Source organism: Homo sapiens, chromosome 2 (genome assembly GCF_000001405.40).
Source record: "Homo sapiens chromosome 2, GRCh38.p14 Primary Assembly".
NCBI classification, from domain to species: domain Eukaryota; kingdom Metazoa; phylum Chordata; class Mammalia; order Primates; family Hominidae; genus Homo; species Homo sapiens.
Window position 1 is genome coordinate 105,231,265 of NC_000002.12, and position 19,887 is coordinate 105,251,151.

General features: G+C 47.9%; 2 protein-coding genes across 2 annotated transcripts in view, besides 1 other annotated feature; one reads left to right on the forward strand and one right to left on the reverse strand.

The window, feature by feature from the left end:
- Nucleotides 1–10,478: 10,478 nt before the first annotated feature.
- On the forward strand, nt 10,479–12,203 carry GPR45 (G protein-coupled receptor 45). The gene has a single exon (NM_007227.3). It carries the CDS (start codon nt 10,595–10,597, stop codon nt 11,711–11,713), a length of 1,119 nt encoding a protein of 372 aa, NP_009158.3. The 5' UTR covers nt 10,479–10,594; the 3' UTR covers nt 11,714–12,203.
- The window catches only part of TGFBRAP1 (transforming growth factor beta receptor associated protein 1), an 80,332-nt gene continuing 78,584 nt past the window's right edge, over nt 18,140–19,887 (reverse strand). Inside the window, exon 12 of the mRNA NM_001328646.3 lies at nt 18,140–19,148. Within this exon, the coding sequence (NP_001315575.1) occupies nt 19,080–19,148 (69 nt within the window). The 3' untranslated portion in view covers nt 18,140–19,079. The remainder of the gene's footprint in view (nt 19,149–19,887) is intronic.
- Nucleotides 19,003–19,881: an enhancer, noted in NCBI's record as "H3K27ac-H3K4me1 hESC enhancer chr2:105866724-105867602 (GRCh37/hg19 assembly coordinates)". NCBI's record gives its function as "activates a minimal SCP1, AML or CMV promoter by ChIP-STARR-seq in naive H9 embryonic stem cells {active_cell/tissue: H9 hESC(naive)}" and the evidence as "EXISTENCE:reporter gene assay evidence [ECO:0000049][PMID:30033119]".

Below are 19,887 nucleotides of genomic sequence, written 5' to 3' on the forward strand. Positions count from 1 at the left end.
GACGTGACAGAAAAGGAAAATGGCATAGTGTGCTAAGTTTGCCGACCGTACTGGGGAAGGAAGGGTCTGGCACTCCTTGGGATTCTGGATATGTGCTTTCTGCCAGCTGGAGAGCTCTAACCTGCTGTTAGGGAAGAATGGCAAAAGTCCAGCTTGGAGAAATTTCAAAAGGATAACCCAGGTGACAAGCTTCAGCCTCACTATGCAATGCTGTGTGACCTCATGGGAGTAAAACAGCTCAGATAATGAGACCATGAAAAGTTGTACAAAGCATTAAACACCATACATTTAAAACATTTAAAGTTGACTTTATTATGAAGCAAAACATTCAGGAAGAACTCAGGACTCCACCCCAGGGGACCCACATATCTACAGTTGGTTCAGACAGCCCCCAAAAGCTGGCATGCTGTGTGCTTGGGACAGAACTTACCAACTGTCCCAATAAAGACCCTTCCCAGGCTGGGCATGGTGGCTCATGCCTGTAATCCCAGCACTTTGGGAGGCTGAGGCAGATGGATCACTTGAGGTCAGGAGTTCGAGACCAGCCTGGCCAACATGGCAGGAACCCCGTCTCTACTAAAAATACAAAAATTAGCTGGCCGTGGTGATGTGCGCCTGTAGTCCCAGCTACTCAGAAGGCTGAGACACAAGAATCCCTTGAACTTGAGAGGCAGAGGTGGCGGTGAGCCGAGATCACACCACTGCATTCCAGCCTGGGTGACAGAGCGAGACTTTGTCCTCCCCACCCCCACCCCAAAAACAACCACCACAAAAAGCACAAGACCCTTCCCTACCCCTGTCTAGTGTTTTGTGATATGCAGCGTGCTTTTCTACGTATTGAATCTTCACAACAACCCTGTGAGGTAGGTACCCTCATATCATTTTACAAAAGAAGAAACTGAACAGTTGGGAATTTTTCCCAGGCTATAAGGCAGAACCAGGACTATAATTTCGATCTTCTGAGTCCGAGCCTTGACTAGGACTTTATTACGGAGGGCCTCTTTCCTCCTGTATCTCATTGGTTCATCATGCCTTTATCTTGGTTGGTACTTTGGTGGCTTTACATGGGCAAATAAGTTTAGCTTGTCCCACCTCCTGCCCCACTAATACTTCCTAATTCAGATCATGGATATTAACATGGGACAGGGCACAAGGGCTCAGTGATTTAAATGTTGTTCTAACCTTGCTCCTCCACATGTCATGGGCCTGGGTAGGAAGGGCAGAGGTGCTGCTAGAGTTACCCGGCTGTCAATTAGACTTATCAAGTTATGGCTGGAGGTGAGGCTGTGGCTCACTCCTTCAATCCCAGCAATTTGGGAGGCCAAGGCAGGCGGATCACCTGAGATCAGGAGTTGAAGACCAGCCTGGCCAACATGGTGAAACCCAGTCTCTACTAAAAATACAAAAAGTAGCCAGGCTTGGTGGCGGGCACCTGTAATCCCAGCTACTCAGGAGGCTAAGGCACAAGAATCGCTTGAACCCGCGAGGTGGAGGTTGCAGTGAGCCTACATCTCGCCACTGCACTTGAGCCTAGGCAACAGAGCTAGACTCTGTCCCCAAAAAAACAAACAAACAAAAAAAAAACCGGAATTGTCAAGTTCTTGGGTTACATTAAGAACACTTTTTTCAAAAATAAATTGGAGCAATTATAAAAAGTACAATCAGCTGACCACAAACAGACATGAAGGATCTTTTTGGAGGTGATGAAAATGTCCTCAAAGCAGATTGTGGTGATAGTTGTGCAACATTTTAAATTGGCTAAAAATCATTTAATTGTCCACGTGCAGTGGGCAAATGTCATGATACATAAACTAGATCTCAATGAAGCTGTTAAAAACATTCAAATATCGGCCAGGTGCAGTGGCTCCCGCCTGTAATCTCAGCACTTTGGGAGGCTGAGCCAGGCGGATCCCCTGAGGTAAGGAGTTCGAGACCAGCCTGGCCAACATGGTGAAACCCCATCCCTACTAACAGGACAAAAATTAGCCGGGCGTGGTGGCAGGCTCCTGTAATCCCAGCTACTCATGAGGCTGAAGCAGCAGAATAGCTTGAACCTGGGAGGTGAAGGTTGCAGTGAGCCGAGATCACACTACTGCACTCCAGCCTGGGTGACAAGAGCGAGATTCCGTCTCAAAAAAAAAAAAAGAAAAAATTCAAATATCAAAAATAATTTTACTAGAGTAAGTAAGCTGTGTCTGTTTTCTTTACATTACAAATGAAAAAGTATATTTTTTACCAGGCTTAGGGATTTTGTTTGTTTGTTTAGAATTAGGGCATAAAATGTCAGAAAAAAATGCGCAAATAAGTTTAAAATTAGTTTTTGAGAAAGTCAGGTGAAAATGTAGTAGAGGGCCCTGCAGATGTAATTTTGGAGAAGGAAACAGGTTTTATAAAGCAGCCCTGTGAAATCTGATGTGTCAGTACTGGGTTTTTCTCCTGTGTAAGCCGCACCTGTCCCGGGAGCCCCTGGGTATAGGCTACTTGAGATGTCACATGCTCTACCTGGAGAAACACAAATTGGCAGGTATTATTTTTTAGCATCTTGAAAAAGTGCTAATTGTCTCAGATTCTGTTAAAATATAAAGCTCCATTTTTAAACAAGTGCCATATGCTTTGTGCCTCTAGCAAAATCTTCCTACATGGTTTGGGGACTTTTAAAATCCTACCTTAGATGTAACACCTCTAAATTAGTTAAGAAAGGAAGTGAATAAGTTGGCTTTTAATAGTAAAATGCACAAACAACATTCTCGAGGATTAATTTGGAAGCTGGTGACCCTAAGTGAATTATACGCTTTGGCCTCCTCTAAAGCAGTGGTCCCCCACCTTTTGGCACCAGGGATCCGTTTGTTGGGAGGCAATTTTTCCACAGGACCAGGAGCGGATGGTTTTGGGATGAAACTGTTCCATCTCAGCAGATCATCAGGCATTAGATCATCGGGCATTAGATTCACATAAGGAGTGCGCAACCTAGATCCCTCACGTGCACAATTCACAATAGGGTTCCACTCCTATGAGAATCGAATAATGCTGCTGATCTGGCCAGAGGCGGTGCTCAGGTGGTAATGTGAGCGACGCGGAGCAACTGTAAATACAGATGAAGCTTCGCTCGCCCTCCACTCACCTCCTCCTGTGTGGCCTGGTTCCTAACAGGCCAGGGAAAGGTACTGGTCTGTGGTCCCAGGATTTAAGAACCCCTGCTCTAAAGAAAGGTGGTAGCACAAAGATACTTAAAAAATGAGTATTTTATGGCCATCCTGTGGGTTATTTTGGACTTTTCAGAAGTTCTTAAATAATCAGTTGTTCTTTCTCATAACCAGAGCAAGCATAGGCAGTCAGTCTGAGCCATAATCTATCTGAATCTGTAGAAATAAATTTGTCCACACTATGAAACCCTCACGTACACTGAGTGGGTACCACTAACATGGGGCTTGCCCAGGACAGAGGGAAGGAGGGAAGAGTCAAAGAGTAAAAGAGAAGATATGACTCGATTTTCCATTCTTCCATTTGTATCTGCTTAAGCAAATCATCTCATTGCATTGATTGAGTTTCCTCATCTGTAAATGGGAATAGTCACGTATCATCCCAGTGGCTGTGAGAAAGAAGTAAAAGCACATTTTAGATGCACTTTGTATATTTAAAGTCTTATTCTAATACTACCTATCACTGTTTCTTTGGTCAGAGCAACATTTCAGTCATCATTAGATTGGGGATATGTAAAGGCCTGAAATCTTCAAGCTGGACTCTAAGATTAGAGTCTCCCAGCCACCAGCTGGTATGCAAGGCTCTGGAGCTATGAATGGGTTGCTGGGGTGTCTGAGGCAGTAACCTCTTAGCCCTGCCAGCAGCAGCACAGGCCTGCGGTCGGTCTCTCTAGTGTGCCCTACAAATAACATTTTCTATACGAGTCTTGACTTTAGAAGGGTGGGGAAGCACCAAGGATTGAACAAAGAGATGAGACAGTGTCTGAATCCTCACAGCCACCCTGCATCTCCCATGGATCTGGCGTTAAATCCTACACTCTTGACAGCCAGCAGATTTTACATTTGAGGAGACAAATAGATCTCATCCACATTTGCTTGAGAAGCATCTGCAAAAGCTCCCGCATCAGATGCACACACGGTCCTACAGGCCCAAGGGCATCCTGTGTCCTGAGTGCCTGCCAAGACACCCGTAGCCCTGTGACAGTCCCACACACACGCCCTGCACCCACGGCCTTCACATCTTACCTTTCCTGCTGAAAGACATCCTTCCTGTGGCTCCCAATGCTGACTCATTCCTGATATAAAAGTCTGATAGGAACTGCTAGTTACATCATTATCTGAGTGGCCTCTCTCTGCATAGCCTAGGGGTTAAGGCATGGGCCCTGGAGTCAGACTGTCTGATTCTAATGCAGGGCCCTACTACTATACTTTCTAGGTAAATAACTGTGCATCCAGTTCTTCATCTGTAAAGAGGAGTCAATGTGAGGGTTAATTGAGAGAAACCATGTCAGTAGTTCCTACAACTGAGAACGTTTACCCTGGATGACTTATTAAAATGCAGTTTGCGCCCCCTGGCGTCCCAGGGTTTCTAATTCAGTGGGTCTGGAGTGGCCCTGAGAATTTTCCTTTCTCAAGTTCCTAGGCGATGCGGATGCCGAAGACGCAGGGGCCGAGCTTCCTGACCACTGAGCTATGTAAGGGGCTTAGCCTGGCATGCTATCAGCACACGAGAAATGTTAGCCATTACTAAGAAGAATAGGCAATGAAGATTTGCCTCATTAAAAGACTTCCCAGTTGTGTTCTACTTGAAAATTTCTCCCCAAGAATCTTGTTCAAGTCGAGGAATAAAAAATCTGGTTCCTTTCAGCTCACTTTTCTTTGAAGTTAAGACACGTGGCACGACACCTGTTTCTAAACACAGCTACTTGATGTATTACTTTTGGCAGCTCTTGCATATTTTTTCATCGCCAATAAAGTTATTGAAATTGAAATATACCATCTGTTTGAGAGTTTGTATCAAAAAGACAGGTGACAAGGTTGCAGGTAATGACAGAGTCAAGCTGTTCCCACAGCAAAGGGCTGTTCCTAGCTTCCCCGTCTGCCAAAATTGACTTCATTTCTTAGATTTGACATTTTTGAACCAATATGTTCTTCTGGAGCAGGGATTAAAAATCCAATATCACAAAACCAATTGGTTTTACCTGCAGCAATATTAAAGACTATGGAGAAAGAGCCCAACAAATTTCCCACCATTTGGCTGAAATAGAACCAGCAGAGAGAAAGCAAATTCTATCAGATGTACATATATATGTAAATGCATATATATATATATAATTCAAAATCTGATAATTAAAATGTAGATGTACCTGTGTGTAGTGTGTACCTGACTTTTTTCTTAATGTTTGTGAAAAACAGTTCCAAAAGAACTGCGCCTACTCCCACTGCGCATATGAGCGCTTCCTTCGCGGATCAGGGGTTGGCAGCCTTACACCAGGAACGCACCTGGGCGCAGCCTCGATCCCACAGGGTCCAGGTGCAGAGGCACCGGGATGCACGCAACACCTTTCGACGCAGAGCTGGGGAAGGGGCCAATAGGAATGGATGCTCCGACAGACGAAGCCACGTGGGAACAAGGACGAGCCCAGGGCAGCTTTTGCTGGAGGTACAGGGGCAGTGTCACAGGGGGCAAGTGGAGTTGCTGGGGAGGATACGATAGCATGTGGGATTTGAAGGTGGGGAAGATTCCGTTATTTTCCTGAACACCTAACAGTGATGCTGCAGGCTTTCTGGACGGGACGGGACCTCAGACACAATAATCCATTCCGCCGTCGCCACGCAGTGCCTTTCGACCATTCAGTTTCAGCGCTGGGAGGAAGGAGAGGCGTGCGCTCTTGCTGAAGGTCGCGCGGGGCTCACCGACCGGTTGCCAGGAAGTCTACCTCCTCCACGTGGCAATCGCCGCTGCTGCTCGGCTCCCTGCCACGGGGCTGCCCCGACTGTGCCTCCGCAGGTCTCTCTGGTTCTGCCCGCCTTTGTCCCCTCGCAAGGCATTATCCCTCCCCGCTTCAATCAGGGTCCGGCGGATCGTCTTCACGCCTGATCTTGAGGATGGGAAAGGGAGACAGGATCGTCTTCACGCCTGATCTTGAGGATGGGAAAGGGAGACAGGCATTTCTTACCTTCTCCTTCCTGACCACTTAAAGCCAAACATATTCCCAGCCGAAGATGAGAGTTGCTACCTGAAACGCCAAGTTTGCGAGCAGAAGGCCACTCGAATCCCCGCTTGACCAGGCCTTAGGAGGACGGTAGAGTCCTGGAGAGCTGCCCTGGCGCCGCTGCAGGGACCTCCGCTGTGTCCCCCAGTCCCTCAAAGCTCTCCTGGGCCGCATTTTCCCCTCTCATGTCTGTCTCACGAGGCCACTCACAGCCTGGCCTCCTCTCCCCAAGAAAACCTGGCAGGATCTCCCTACTGCACTGGAAACAAAAGCCTGGACGGGAGGTGTATGTGGACCAGGAAGTGCCAGCTTAAATGGAAGGAAACGGAGGGAACACAGCTCAAAAGCGTAGCCAAGTGGTGCTTTGCTATACTATGTTATCTCTTTTTGCATGTTTGAAATTTAACATAATAAAAAGACTTTTAAAGTTGGCAAAAGAAAAAGGGGAAGAGAACAAAGAAAGATAAAAGAAAGAAATGAGAGAGAAAAAGAAGGAAGGAAAAAAGAGAGAAGTAAGGAAGGAAAAAAGGAAGGAAGGAAGGAAGGAAGGGAGGGAGGCAGGAATGGAGGGAGGGAGGCAGGAAGGGAGGGAGGGAGGGAGGAAGAAAGGCTTTGGCAGGCCAGACACTGATACTTCCTAGCCTCCCGAGGCTGCCCCAGCGCGCCCCCTGGTGGTCGCACATAGAGTTGTCCTATTTGGAGAGCAAAGACAAAGGTTCTTTCCCTCATCCTCACTAAGTTCTTTTTTTTTTTTTTTTTTTTTTTTTTTTTTTTTTTTTGAGACGGAGTCTCGCTCCGTCGCCCAGGCTGGAGTGCGGTGGCGCGATCTCGGCTCACTGCAAGCTCCGCCTCCCAGGTTCACGCCATTCTCCTGCCTCAGCCTCCCGAGTAGCTGGGACTACAGGCGCCGGCCACCACGGCTGGCTAATTTTTTGTATTTTTAGTACAGGCGGGGTTTCACCATGTTAGCCAGGATGGTCTCGATCTCCTGACCTCGTGATCCGCCTGCCTCGGCCTCCCAACATGTTGGGATTACAGGCGTGAGCCACCGCGCCCCGCTGAAGGTCAGTTTTTAGAAGCCCATTCTTTATCTACTGGGAAAGGAGAACAGAGTGGGATTTTGTTTGAAATTTGTCTGTACCTCAACTGGTGTAGCTTGGGGGTGGGAGGATGGTTTTTCTTTTCCCTATGCTTGTCAGTGTCACAGACGTGAAGTCATCCTCCCCAAGCCACCGTCCTCACCACAGAACCATCTTTCTGTTGGAGTCTCAGCTTCCAGTCTCGGCTCCACTGGTCACTACTTTGCTGAACTGGGGCTTGTCGTGACTGTATCTGAGCTTCCCTTTCATAATTTCCCTGCCTTCTTGCCAGGCGTGAGGATGCAGAGGGAAGGCTTTAGAAAACCTTGCAGTAAACACAATGCATGGGTGGCCTCGTGTCCGCTTTGCTGAAAGCGCCTTCTATCTTTTGCGTGGACACAGCTCACTGAAGCCTCTGCCAGAGCACAGCTAGCCACACCATGGCACACAGCAGCACACAGCCTGGTCACACTTTCCTTAGTTGATTAATCACACTTCAGTCAGAGATGAAGATTTACCTCCTGACACTTGCACAGCCTCCCAGTTCCAGGGTGAGATCATTTGGAAAGGAACTAAAACAAATACCTTGAAACGGTTCAGTTCCCAGCTCGCTTCTTTCACAGCTTTAAATTCATATTGTGGCACCCATTTCTCATCGTGAAAGTCGCTGGAGACGGTGAGTGCTGTTACTCCAAGAACACCAGCAGAATATTTCTTGTTCACTTGTTACCTTTTACTTAGATCTTAGTGCCCTAGTCCCTTGTAATAAAAGCACTGTTGATTCAGATATTAACAACAGGACTGTGACCAAAATGCTAAATTAAAATACCTAAGACAGGTTGTTGTCCAGAAGCCAAAAGAATTTTAATCAGATTCAACCACAAGACATATACATTAAAAAAAATACCTTGCACTATTTGTTCCTTTAATTAAGCATGAAATCACTCTCTGTAACTATCATTGTGGGGAAAATCTAAGTTTATAGCATGGAGAGGAATGCAGATGAAGGATTCACTATCGGCTAAGATTGACAGGCACATGGATGCACGATACTGTGTTTTTTCTCAGTGGTCCTTTATTCTGTGCTCCAAGAGGAGCTTAATCCATTAGGGCTTCCTACATGCATGTCATGGTTCCTGCCATGAACAAATTTGCAGTTTAATCCAAGAGACAGAAACCCCTAAACTTGAAACAGTGAGGGAGATGGAGTTAATTTATTAATGCCCTTCTTTTACCAGACATTGCACATTATATTTACCAACTCTGGAGGTAAATATGTAATTACCTCCATTTCACAGATCAGAAAATTGAGATGAAGAAGGGTCATAATTTTGGTCTGAATGAGAGATAATTCCCACTTATAAATTAACACACCAGGTTTCTGATTTTTATAGCTCAGAAAAAGTTTGGATACTGGTGCCCACCACTGAGAGATGAACCCATTCTGGGTGTGTTTGGGAAGGAAGACCAAGGATTGGTTGGGTCTAAACTGAAGTATAGCATCACCAAGACACTGCCACTCCCAGGTCCTCTAAGCCTGCTCTGAGGCCTCCTGGCTTCTTACATTGCCCACATTCCTCTCAGTGTGAGTTATCTGTAACAATGACCACAAGGAATTTAGAAAAGAGAAATTTCTTACAAGAAGAGGTGCATCCAACAGCCAGATGTCCAGGGTGGATAAATGGCGCAGGCTGGATTTCCCCCAGCCCAGGCGATGTGACTTCAGACCTGAGCTACTGAACACACTCTTGCCACATCAGTGAGACAAAATTAAAATTATATTTATCTTTTTGAAAGTGAAAGCAAGTTTATCAAGAATGTAAGGAATAAAAGCTCATTTCATTTACTTTTTTTTTAAGAGACAGGGTCTCACTCTGTTACCCAGGCTGGAGTACAGTGACACCTTCTTAGCTCACGACAGCCTCGAACTTCTGTGCTTGAGCAATCCTCCTGCCTCGGCCTCCTGAGTAGCAGGGACTATAGATGGAAGCCTGGCTCATTTTTTTGTGTGTGTAGAGATGGGATCTCTCTATGTTGCCCAGGCAGGTCTTGAACTCCTGGCCTCAAGCAATCCTCCTGTCTCTGCCTCTCAAAGTGCTGGGATTATAGGCATGAGCCACTGCACCCAGCTAACATTGTATTTTAAAAGGCCTTACCTTTGGGGAAAGTTCCCTTCTCCCAGTCTGTGCTTCCAGAAGTAATAGTATAGCAGCCCCACAGTTATCCAAGATGTTACCATTAGGGAAAACTGGGTGAAGGACACACAGAATTTCACCATAGTATTTATTATTATAACTCCATGTGAATTTACACTTATCCATGTGAATTTACACTTATCAAATAAAGTTAAACAAACAGACTTACAATTTCTTTTAAAAAATTAAAACTTAAAAATGTATACTTAAAATTTGCTAAGAGGGCAGATCTTAGGTGAAGTATTCTTACCACCAAAACAAAATGATAATACTAGAAAAATGGCAGGAGAGAGCTTTGGCAGGGGGAGTGGGATATGTTTTTGGCCTTGGTGGTGATGGGTTTCTGGTATATTGAGATGTAAATTTGTACAGCTTTTGACATGTCAGTCATTCCTCGATGAAGTGGGGTTTTTTAAAGCTAAACAAATATTATAGCAGCAGCATCAACTATCACTTATTCATCTACTCAACAAGCATCCAAGTGTCCTCAACAAGGACACTTACTGCATGCCAGCCACTGTTGTCAGTACTGGGAGATAGCAGAGAATGAAACAAGCAAAACCTTTCTCTTGTGGAGCAGGATTCTAACGTTAGTTGGCTAGACCAAGGCTTCATTCCGACAGGTTGCTGAAAACTCAAGTTATTACATAAACACTAACTACAAAGTGTACTTCCTCAGTTTCCTCAGAAGATAGCTGATTAGGTTTTTCTGGGCTGCTTGACAAGACTCAGACAGTATTTGTGAATATCAAGCTTTGTCCCACGTGGTAAATAAACTTGTTTAGAAACACCTGTAAAGCTTAAACGCGTGCTTTCTTCAACGCGTTTGGAAACTCTAACCCCCTTCTCTTTTGTACTTTTGCTTGCTGTCCACTACAGAGGGTCCAAGCACGAAGCTGTGCACAGAGTCGCTCTCCACAGAGATGCTTAGGATGTGATCCATGAATCGCAAATCCCAGCTAGTGCTCACAAAGACGGACATTTCTCCCCAAGACCATTCCAGTGCCCCAGAGGTCCACAGACATCCAGGAAGATGCAGCCAGCAGACAAAGAATGGCAGCCACCCAAGTGCTGAGGGGAGCCCTCCCGGCCATTTCTGTCCCAGCTCCAAGGGTCTCTCCACGATGGCCTGCAACAGCACGTCCCTTGAGGCTTACACATACCTGCTGCTGAACACCAGCAACGCCTCAGACTCGGGGTCCACCCAGTTGCCCGCACCCCTCAGGATCTCCTTGGCCATAGTGATGCTGCTGATGACCGTGGTGGGGTTCCTGGGCAACACTGTGGTCTGCATCATCGTGTACCAGAGGCCGGCTATGCGCTCGGCCATCAACCTGCTGCTGGCCACCCTGGCCTTCTCCGACATCATGCTGTCCCTCTGCTGCATGCCCTTCACCGCCGTCACCCTCATCACCGTGCGCTGGCACTTTGGGGACCACTTCTGCCGCCTCTCAGCCACGCTCTACTGGTTTTTTGTCCTGGAGGGCGTGGCCATCCTGCTCATCATCAGCGTGGACCGCTTCCTCATCATCGTCCAGCGCCAGGACAAGCTGAACCCGCGCAGGGCCAAGGTGATCATCGCGGTCTCCTGGGTGCTGTCCTTCTGCATCGCGGGGCCCTCGCTCACGGGCTGGACGCTGGTGGAGGTGCCGGCGCGGGCCCCACAGTGCGTGCTGGGCTACACGGAGCTCCCCGCTGACCGCGCCTACGTGGTCACCTTGGTGGTGGCCGTGTTCTTCGCGCCCTTTGGCGTCATGCTGTGCGCCTACATGTGCATCCTCAACACGGTCCGCAAGAACGCCGTGCGCGTGCACAACCAGTCGGACAGCCTGGACCTGCGGCAGCTCACCAGGGCGGGCCTGCGGCGCCTGCAGCGGCAGCAACAGGTCAGCGTGGACTTGAGCTTCAAGACCAAGGCCTTCACCACCATCCTGATCCTCTTCGTGGGCTTCTCCCTCTGCTGGCTGCCCCACTCCGTCTACAGCCTCCTGTCTGTGTTTAGCCAGCGCTTTTACTGCGGTTCCTCCTTCTACGCCACCAGCACCTGCGTCCTGTGGCTCAGTTACCTCAAGTCCGTCTTCAACCCCATCGTCTACTGCTGGAGAATCAAAAAATTCCGCGAGGCCTGCATAGAGTTGCTGCCCCAGACCTTCCAAATCCTCCCCAAAGTGCCTGAGCGGATCCGAAGGAGAATCCAGCCAAGCACAGTCTACGTGTGCAATGAAAACCAGTCTGCGGTTTAGGGGGTCAGGGGGCCACAGAGAAGGGGCAGCTGAGCCCCAGTCCCAGGGTGGATCTGTCCTGCTCTGTTCCCTGGCATGTTGGTCATAGTCTGCACTTTGTGGTGGCAATTTAAGCACAAAGGTACTCATTTGTAATCAGATGAGCTGCAGCTCCCAAATTTCAAATTTTGGCACGATGAATTATTTTTGTTTCTCTTTGCAGAGAGCCAAATATGGGGCTGATGGGAACTGCAACGTCATTAAGTCAAAAATGGAGTGGGCTGGGGAGTGCAGAAGTTGGGCAGAAAGGGAGGAGGAGGGCAACAGGGAATGAAGCTGGTTGAGTGTGGGGCAGGAGGACTGGTCAGTCACAAGAGCTTCAACCTGCCCTGCGAGCCCTCTCTGCACCTGCTCAAGAGAAACCCTGAGAAACCCCAGTAGGTGTGAGCTCCTGGGTGTTCATTCATTTTGTTTGACACCAGGGTTCTTCAGCTATTGATGTTTGTGGTGTGTGGGGACTCACATGAGGTTCTTTATGTTGATCAGATGTGCATTTCTTCCCATGCCTAAGTATCTTTTCTAGAAAGAAACCAAAATCACACGGGGAAGCAGAGTGAGCCTCTGTGCTTTGAGCTCCCTGCAATGACGCATGGGAGGCCTCAGAGGCTTGAAGCCCAGAGAAGGTCCTGGGCAGCCCAGCTGAAGTGAGAAGCACATCCGGGAACTCCTGCATGTCCCCAGCGCCCCCCACCTGCTGGGCCCACCCCGTCCCTGCACCCTGAGGCCACTAGGCCTCCCTGTCTGCTGGAGAGCCCCTTGGCCCTTCCCTCTTTCCTCCACCCCTCTCCCTGCCTCCCTTCGTTTTCCTCCCATCCATATCCAGTGTGCTATAGCTCACCCGCTGAGCAAGCATCTGTAGTGACCTGCTTTCAGTGTCAGCAGTGAGCAGGCTGGGCTTAGTTTACACATTTCCTTTGGACACCCTGGAGCTCCAGAGCCCTTCAACCCACCAAATCCACTTCAGCACTGGACCCGCTGCAGGTGCCACACCAACGAGCCCAATTCTCGGGGTCCCCACTGGTCTCTGTGTTCCTCCTACCTCATTCAGATCCACTGCTGCCATCCTGTTTACCTACTGGGACCAGATCCCAGAAGTGAAGTTGCCCAAAGGGGGCTTCTCTGCTTGTGCTCTATTCGGCCACCACCAGGGGTCCCCACACTGGCATATGAGGGTCCTGAGTCCAGGGCATAGCACTGAGCCCACTGAGCTCTCTTTATTGTTCCAGATCTGAAGAGGGTGGGAAATTTAAGGAGAGATTTAGAAAATCTGATTCCAGGTCTGACTCTATCAGGAACTAGTCATTTGACCTTGATCGTTTCTCATTTCTGTGGGCCTCAGTTTCCCCATATGCCAAATGAGGAAGCAGATCTAGATGATTTCCAATGTCCCCTTTCATCTCTCAAACACTCTGATTCTGAAATGTGTGTTTTCTGTCTGTAGTCATCAGATCCCCTGCATTCATTTATTCATCCATGCAAAGAGCATGCATTAAGTGCCTACTAGGTGTAAGGCACTGTGCGGGAGATAGTGATGAATGAGGCATCATAGGCCATGCCCAAAAGCAGTTGTCTGATTTATCTCAGGATCATGGTAACTCAAATTCAGCCTAAGAGCACAGAAGCCCCATTTTTGCTTCACTTCCCGTTTCTTTCTAAACTGCATTAAGAGCCAGCTCCTCCTTCTCATACTTTCTTCCCGCAGTAGTGGTAACATGGGCAGAGAAGAAAGGGGGGTGAAAGGGAAAACATCATTTCTCTTAACCCTCCTCTTCAGCCCAGAGGAGGGTTAAGAAGATAACTGACACTTGTTCCCCCTCACCTCCCTCCCTGTTTATACCCAGATGGAGAGAGAGGGAGAAGATGAGCAATTGATGTGTGACCGACGGAGGTGGGTTCCATCAATTCTGTGTCCCCAGGTCCCCCAGCAAGGTGGGGATTTGCCTTCAGCTCCATGGAGCAGGGCTCTAGGGCCTCAGTAGTGCCCAACAGCACAGCCAAGTCACCAAGGGGACCAAGCCCATGGGCACCTCCCCTCTGGTGGGCATTTCAGATAATTTTCTTCAGGAGCCTTGAACAAAAGGGAAATCACAACTGAATAAATGAAGGTACCAAAATTTACATCAATCAGTGTTATATGATGTATGTTGGACAGTAATATATATGTTTCAAAGTAATAATTTTGTATATATTTTAAATAAAGTATTATTGCTCTTTCGGTGTATAAGCCTAAGTTCTTGCCAAAATTTGCACCAAGACCATACATATTAAGCCCAGGATCCAATACCCAATACTCCTATATCAGTTTGTTCAGACTGCTGTAACAAAATGTGTTAGATTGGGTAATTTATAAACAACAGAAACTTATTTCTTCCAGTTCTGGATGCTGGGAAGTCCAGGATAAAGGTTTAGGTAGATTCAGTGTCTGGTGAGGGTTCCTGCTCTGCTTCTTAGGTGACGCCTTGTTGCTGTGTCCTCGCATGGCAGAAAGGGAAGGGGCACTCCCTCAAGCCTCTTTTCAGGGGCACCAATCTCATTCACCTCCCAAAGGCCCCATCTCTTAATACTATCACATTGAGTATTAGTTTCCAACACATGAGCTTTGGAGACACCAATATTCAGGCCATAGTGATGCCTGAATAAGACAAAAGACTTCAGGAAGTCTAGAGCCTGAAAGTTAGTAGCAAAGCTGGAAAGACTAAAGATAAGATGACAACTGGGAGACTGTTGCAATAACATGGGTCACAGCTGGGTGCCCAGGTGTTTTGTTTTGGTTTTATTAGGATGCTGCTAAATCACTCCAGCCAGTTAGTCTTCTCTGACTTGCAGTGTGCCACTTTCATAATCCTATCTGGCCTTACTTGAACCTTTAACGAACGTTGATTTCCTAAGATACCAAGATATCTGGTTCTGGTCTCCTTCCCTGAGACTCGCAGGATCAGCACTGCTTGATTGTTTTATTTTTTTGAGATGCAGTCTCACTCTGTCACCCAGGCTGGAGTGTAGTGGTGTGATCTTGGCTCATTGCAACCTCCGCCTCCTGGGTTCAAGCGATTCTTCTGCTTCAGCCTCCTGAGTAGCTGGGATTACAGGGCTGTGCCACCAAACCTGGCTAATTTTTGTATTTTTAGTAGAGATGGGGTTTCACCATATTGACCTCCTGACCTCAGGTGATTTGCCTGCCTCGGCCTCCCAAAGTGCTGGGATTACAGGTGTGAGCCACCGTGCCCAACCCATTGATTTATTATTATTATTATTATTTTGCATCTTCTCTCTAGTCCTATGGTTCACCCAAACCCTGGACTCTGTGTGAAGTCTGGGCAGCTTCACAGCTAAATTGTCTTTGTAGGGCCTTATGCAAGAGCTGGAAACTGGCTGACCATGATAATAACCCTGGAGGCAGACACGGGATCCTTGGGAGATTCTTGCCTTAAAAATGAGACACAAGGAAGTCTCAGAAGTGTCCTCCTATTTGTAACTACTCCTGCAAATCTGCCACCTTTTCATCTTGAATTGTAGTCCCCAAGGTCAGGGTGAAACAAAATCAAAGGTTCCCTAGGATGTTCTGATGACCAAGATGAGCAGCAAATACCTAGATCAATTCTTACTTTGCCATTCTGAGCCCTGGGTGTATTTTCCCTGCACACAAGTCATGGTGAGTGCTTTTTTTTTGGACTAAAAATACCTTCTGCGTTAAGTATTTTCAACACTGCTCAGCTCCCTTGTTCATGTAGTTGGGAACTTTGGTCCCAGAACCCTCACAGTTGCAGGAGTGCCCAGTGCTCAGTTTCTGCTCTTATGGAAACACAGGGGATGTGGAGTATGTGCTTGAAACAGGACAGTCTGAACCCCAGGGTACCTCGCTCTCTGTGGGTTTCTGGGCAAGTGACACGGCATTCCTGTATCCCACCTGCCTCATCTCTGAAATGGCAGAAATACTCCCAGCCAGAAGACCACGGTGAGGAATAAAAAATATCATACATGTAAAAGATCTAGTCCAAGGCTGAGTCCATGGTAGATGCTGAAGACACAGAGGCATTAGAGTTGCACTGTCAACCTGCTGATAGCCAAGGTTTGTTCTTTTTGGGCAAGGGTGGAAAGTTCTTTGAGAAAATGGCTATTTGGTCATTCTGGAAAAAAACAAAAAACAACAAAAAAGCAAGCAACTCTCTAGTGGAAAGCAGCTGGGTGTCCTGTAATTCAATTCAATACTGACACTACCTACCTGGAGTTAGAGTCAGATCCCACAGGTTGAGGGCTCGGTCCCACAAGACTACCACCCCCATTTCAGATGCCAACCACAAGTAGTTGGTCACCTGTGCTCCTGGCCCACAGGCTATAAATGGGAGTTTCTCACAACCCCTTTCTCAGGTTTGATTAATTTGCTGAAGTTGCTCATAGAACTCAGGGAAGAACTTTATTTATGTTTACCCATGTATTACTGTATTACTCTGTTCTCATGCTGCTAATAAAGACATACCCAAGACTGGGTAATTTATAAAGGAATGAGGTTTAATTGACTCACAGTTCCACATGTCTAGGGAGGCCTCACAATCACGGCGAAAGGCAAATGAGGAGTAAAGGCACGTCTTACATGGTGGCAGGCAAAGAGCTTGTGCAGGGGAACTCGACTTTATAAAACCATCAGATCTCATGAGACTTATTCACTACCATGAGAATAGTATGGGGGAAACCATCCCCATGATTCAATTATCTCCACCTGGCCCTACCCTTGACACGTGGGGATTATTACAATTCAAGGTGAGATTTGGGTGGGGACAAAGCCAAACCACATTAATTACAAAGCTATTACAAGGGATACAGGGCAAGGCATGTGGGAAGGGATGTGGAGCTTCCACGCCCTCTCCCAGATCACCACCAGGGACCTCCACACGTTCAGCTACTCAGAAGCCCATCTGAACCTAGACCTTTTCAGGTTTTATGGAGGATTTATTCCATAGGCATGACTGATTACATCACTGGCCATTGTTGATCAACTCAACCTTAGCCCCTCTCCCCTCTTCCTTCTCATGAGATTTTGGGGGTGGAGTGAAAGTCCCAACCCTCTAATCCTGCCACAGTCTTTGTAGTGATCAGCCCTCCTCCTGAAGCCACCTAGGGGTCCCCAGCCACCAGTCATCTCATTAGAATACAACAGACACTCTTACCACTCTGTAGATACTAAGGCCAGGAACCAGGGGCAGAGACCAAATATATAATATATTATATCACAATATCACAGACTCGTTCCTCATCCTCATGTGGTCTAGGATTTCAGGGTTGAGTTGACACTAACACCACATCCACAGAAGCCAGGAGCATGAGTTTGGCTTTAAAGAGCAAAATTCTACTTGCTGGCCTCAACTGCACCACTTCACTCCATTCAAAACTCTCCCTAGGTTGTAAGCTGACCTCACAGGGATGCACAGAGGGATGAGATGGATGTATGATGCAACCCATTCCCATGCCTAGAAAACACAGCCTCTGGTGCACATCACTGCTCTCAGGGCTGTTCTGAGGTCCCCAGGGCACTGTGGAGCCTGTCTGGGAATGCAGAGAGGCAAGAGGAGGGTGGAGGCAGATTGGGTAAAAGGCTGCTGTCACAAAGACAGCCAACACTAAGGGCCTGAAACAGACAAACTTTGTTTCCCTCCAATTAATAGCCCAGGCAGCCAGGTGGGTGCTCTGCTCTGTATGGTTGTTTAGGATGCAGTTGCCTTCCATCTAGTTTCCCACTGTCCCCGGGGCACTGTCCTTATCTTTATGGTCACTCTGGGCTGCAGCCACTTCCATGTTCCGGCTCATGAGGAGGGGGAAGAGGAGGGGGAGCATGTGCAATAAGACACCCCACACTCCACCCTGGTCTTCCACCACCAAGAGTGGAGGCTGCTGGCCACACCTAGCTGCAAAGGAGCCTGGGAAATGGAGTCCCTCATCGGGAGGCCGTCTGCCCAGCTGCAACCTACTGTGGAAGAAGATGGGAGCTGGGTGCAGTGGCTCACATCTATAAGGACAGCACTTTGGGAGTCCTAGGCAGGAGGATAGCTTAAGCCCAAGAGTTCAGTTAAAGATCAGCCTAAGCAACATAGTGCAGACCCTGTCTCTACAAAAAAATACAAAAATTAGCCAAACGTGGTGGTTCACACCTGCAGTCCCAGCTACTCAGGAGGCTGAGGCAGGAGGATTACTTGAGCCTAGGAGGTCAAGGCTGCAGTGAGCCATGATGGCGCCATTGCACTCCAGCCTGGGCAACAGAGAGAAACTCTATCAAAAAAAAAAAAAAAAAAAAAAAAGACGGGAAGGATTTGGTGGACACCTGGCAGTGTCTGCCAAAACATTACACAATTTTGAAAAAAACAGGAGATCCTAGCAACACATACAAACTACGAATTTCACAAAGAGCCTTTGTTTATTGTAAAGTAAGCATATCTCTAACACATCAGCCAAAGATGGTTGCCTCTTTCTTTATCCCAGCCCCCAACACACAGAGTTCTACGTCCAAATACAGAAAATACATGCATTTATGCATGCGGTAAGGAAAAAAAGGCACCACATTTAACCTTTCAGACACAAATGGTGGAAGACATAAAATAACTAGACTGAAAATCTGGAGCCACAAGGAGATGAACTTTGCCAGGATAAGAAAAAAAATTACTATTTAAAATAACAAACAGTCAACACTGATTACGATCAACTCTGCCCAAGAATTTGATTACATTAAAGGAAAGAAGGTAGTTTCAATGCTCTGGCTGTTGAAAGGTGGAGGCTGGTGGCCACGGCACAGAGGGAGCACCACAGAGTATGCGCGGGGTTCAGGCCAGGGCACCATAATTTAACTATTCCAGTGGACGGAGGGCTTGGGAACCCTCACTGGGAGGTCAGCATCTGGATTCTGTAAGAATAGAAGGATGTTTGCATGCAAAAGTATGGTGTGTGCATGTGTGTGCGTGCATGCACAGGTGTGTGCATTATTATGGGCTGGTGTCCAAGGTTACTTTAGCAGAGAGTTCCAATGTCCTTTCTGCTCTCTTGCCCCTTCATCTGGGAGGAGCAGGGAACAAGGTGTTCTAGGAATAGGAGAGGTGCCAGCGATTGCCATGGTCAAAGAGGGAACCAGTAGGAGCTGCAGCACAGACTTCTCTTAGTTAGTCTGATAAGAACGGAAAGAACTTATCTGTGTGAGAAACACTTAGATGAGACCAGAACTTTACCTTCTGCATCCACCAATCCGAGGGCACTGATATGCAAGTTCAGCCTCCTGGGTGTTCAGGTAAACTCCTGAAGATCCCCAAGGTCCAGTTAATGAGAACAAATTACTTGCCCTGGGTCTCTATGTTCCATCTCCGTTCTCTCTGCTGCTGCCTCTGGCATCTGCTGTCCCTCTGCCAGCTATTCCTGTCTAGGAAAAATAACCAAGTTCATTTTCGGAAGCATTTTTTAAAAGAAAGTCCTGCTGTTCTTTATTCATGGTCCTTTGGAGGAATATATTTCTCATTTCCTCCCTCATTAAAATACTGCTGCCGGGAAGGAAGGAAAGAAAATTGGAAAGGCTCCTCCTCTCCCTCTCCCTCCTCTCCCTCTCCCTCCTCTCCCTCTCCCTCCTCTCCCTCTCCCTCTCCCTCTCCCCACGGTCTCCCTCTCCCCACGGTCTCCCTCTCCCTCTCTTTCCACGGTCTCCCCCTGATGCCGAGCCAAAGCTGGACTGTACTGCTGCCATCTCGGCTCACTGCAACCTCCCTGCCTGATTCTCCTGCCTCAGCCTGCCGAGTGCCTGCGATTGCAGGCGCGCGCCGCCACGCCTGACTGGTTTTCGTATTTTTTTGATGGAGACGGGGTTTCGCCGTGTTGGCCGGGCTGGTCTCCAGCTCCTAACCGCGAGTGATCTGCCAGCCTCGGCCTCCCAAGGTGCCGGGATGGCAGACGGAGTCGCGTTCACTCAGTGCTCAATGGTGCCCAGGCTGGAGTGCAGTGGCGTGATCTCGGCTCGCTACAACATCCACCTCCCAGCTGCCTGCCTTGGCCTCCCAAAGTGCCGAGATTGCAGCCTCTGCCCGGCCGCCACCCCGTCTGGAAAGTGAGGAGCATCTCTGCCCCGCCGCCCATCGTCTGAGATGTGGGGAGCGCCTCTGCCCTGCCGC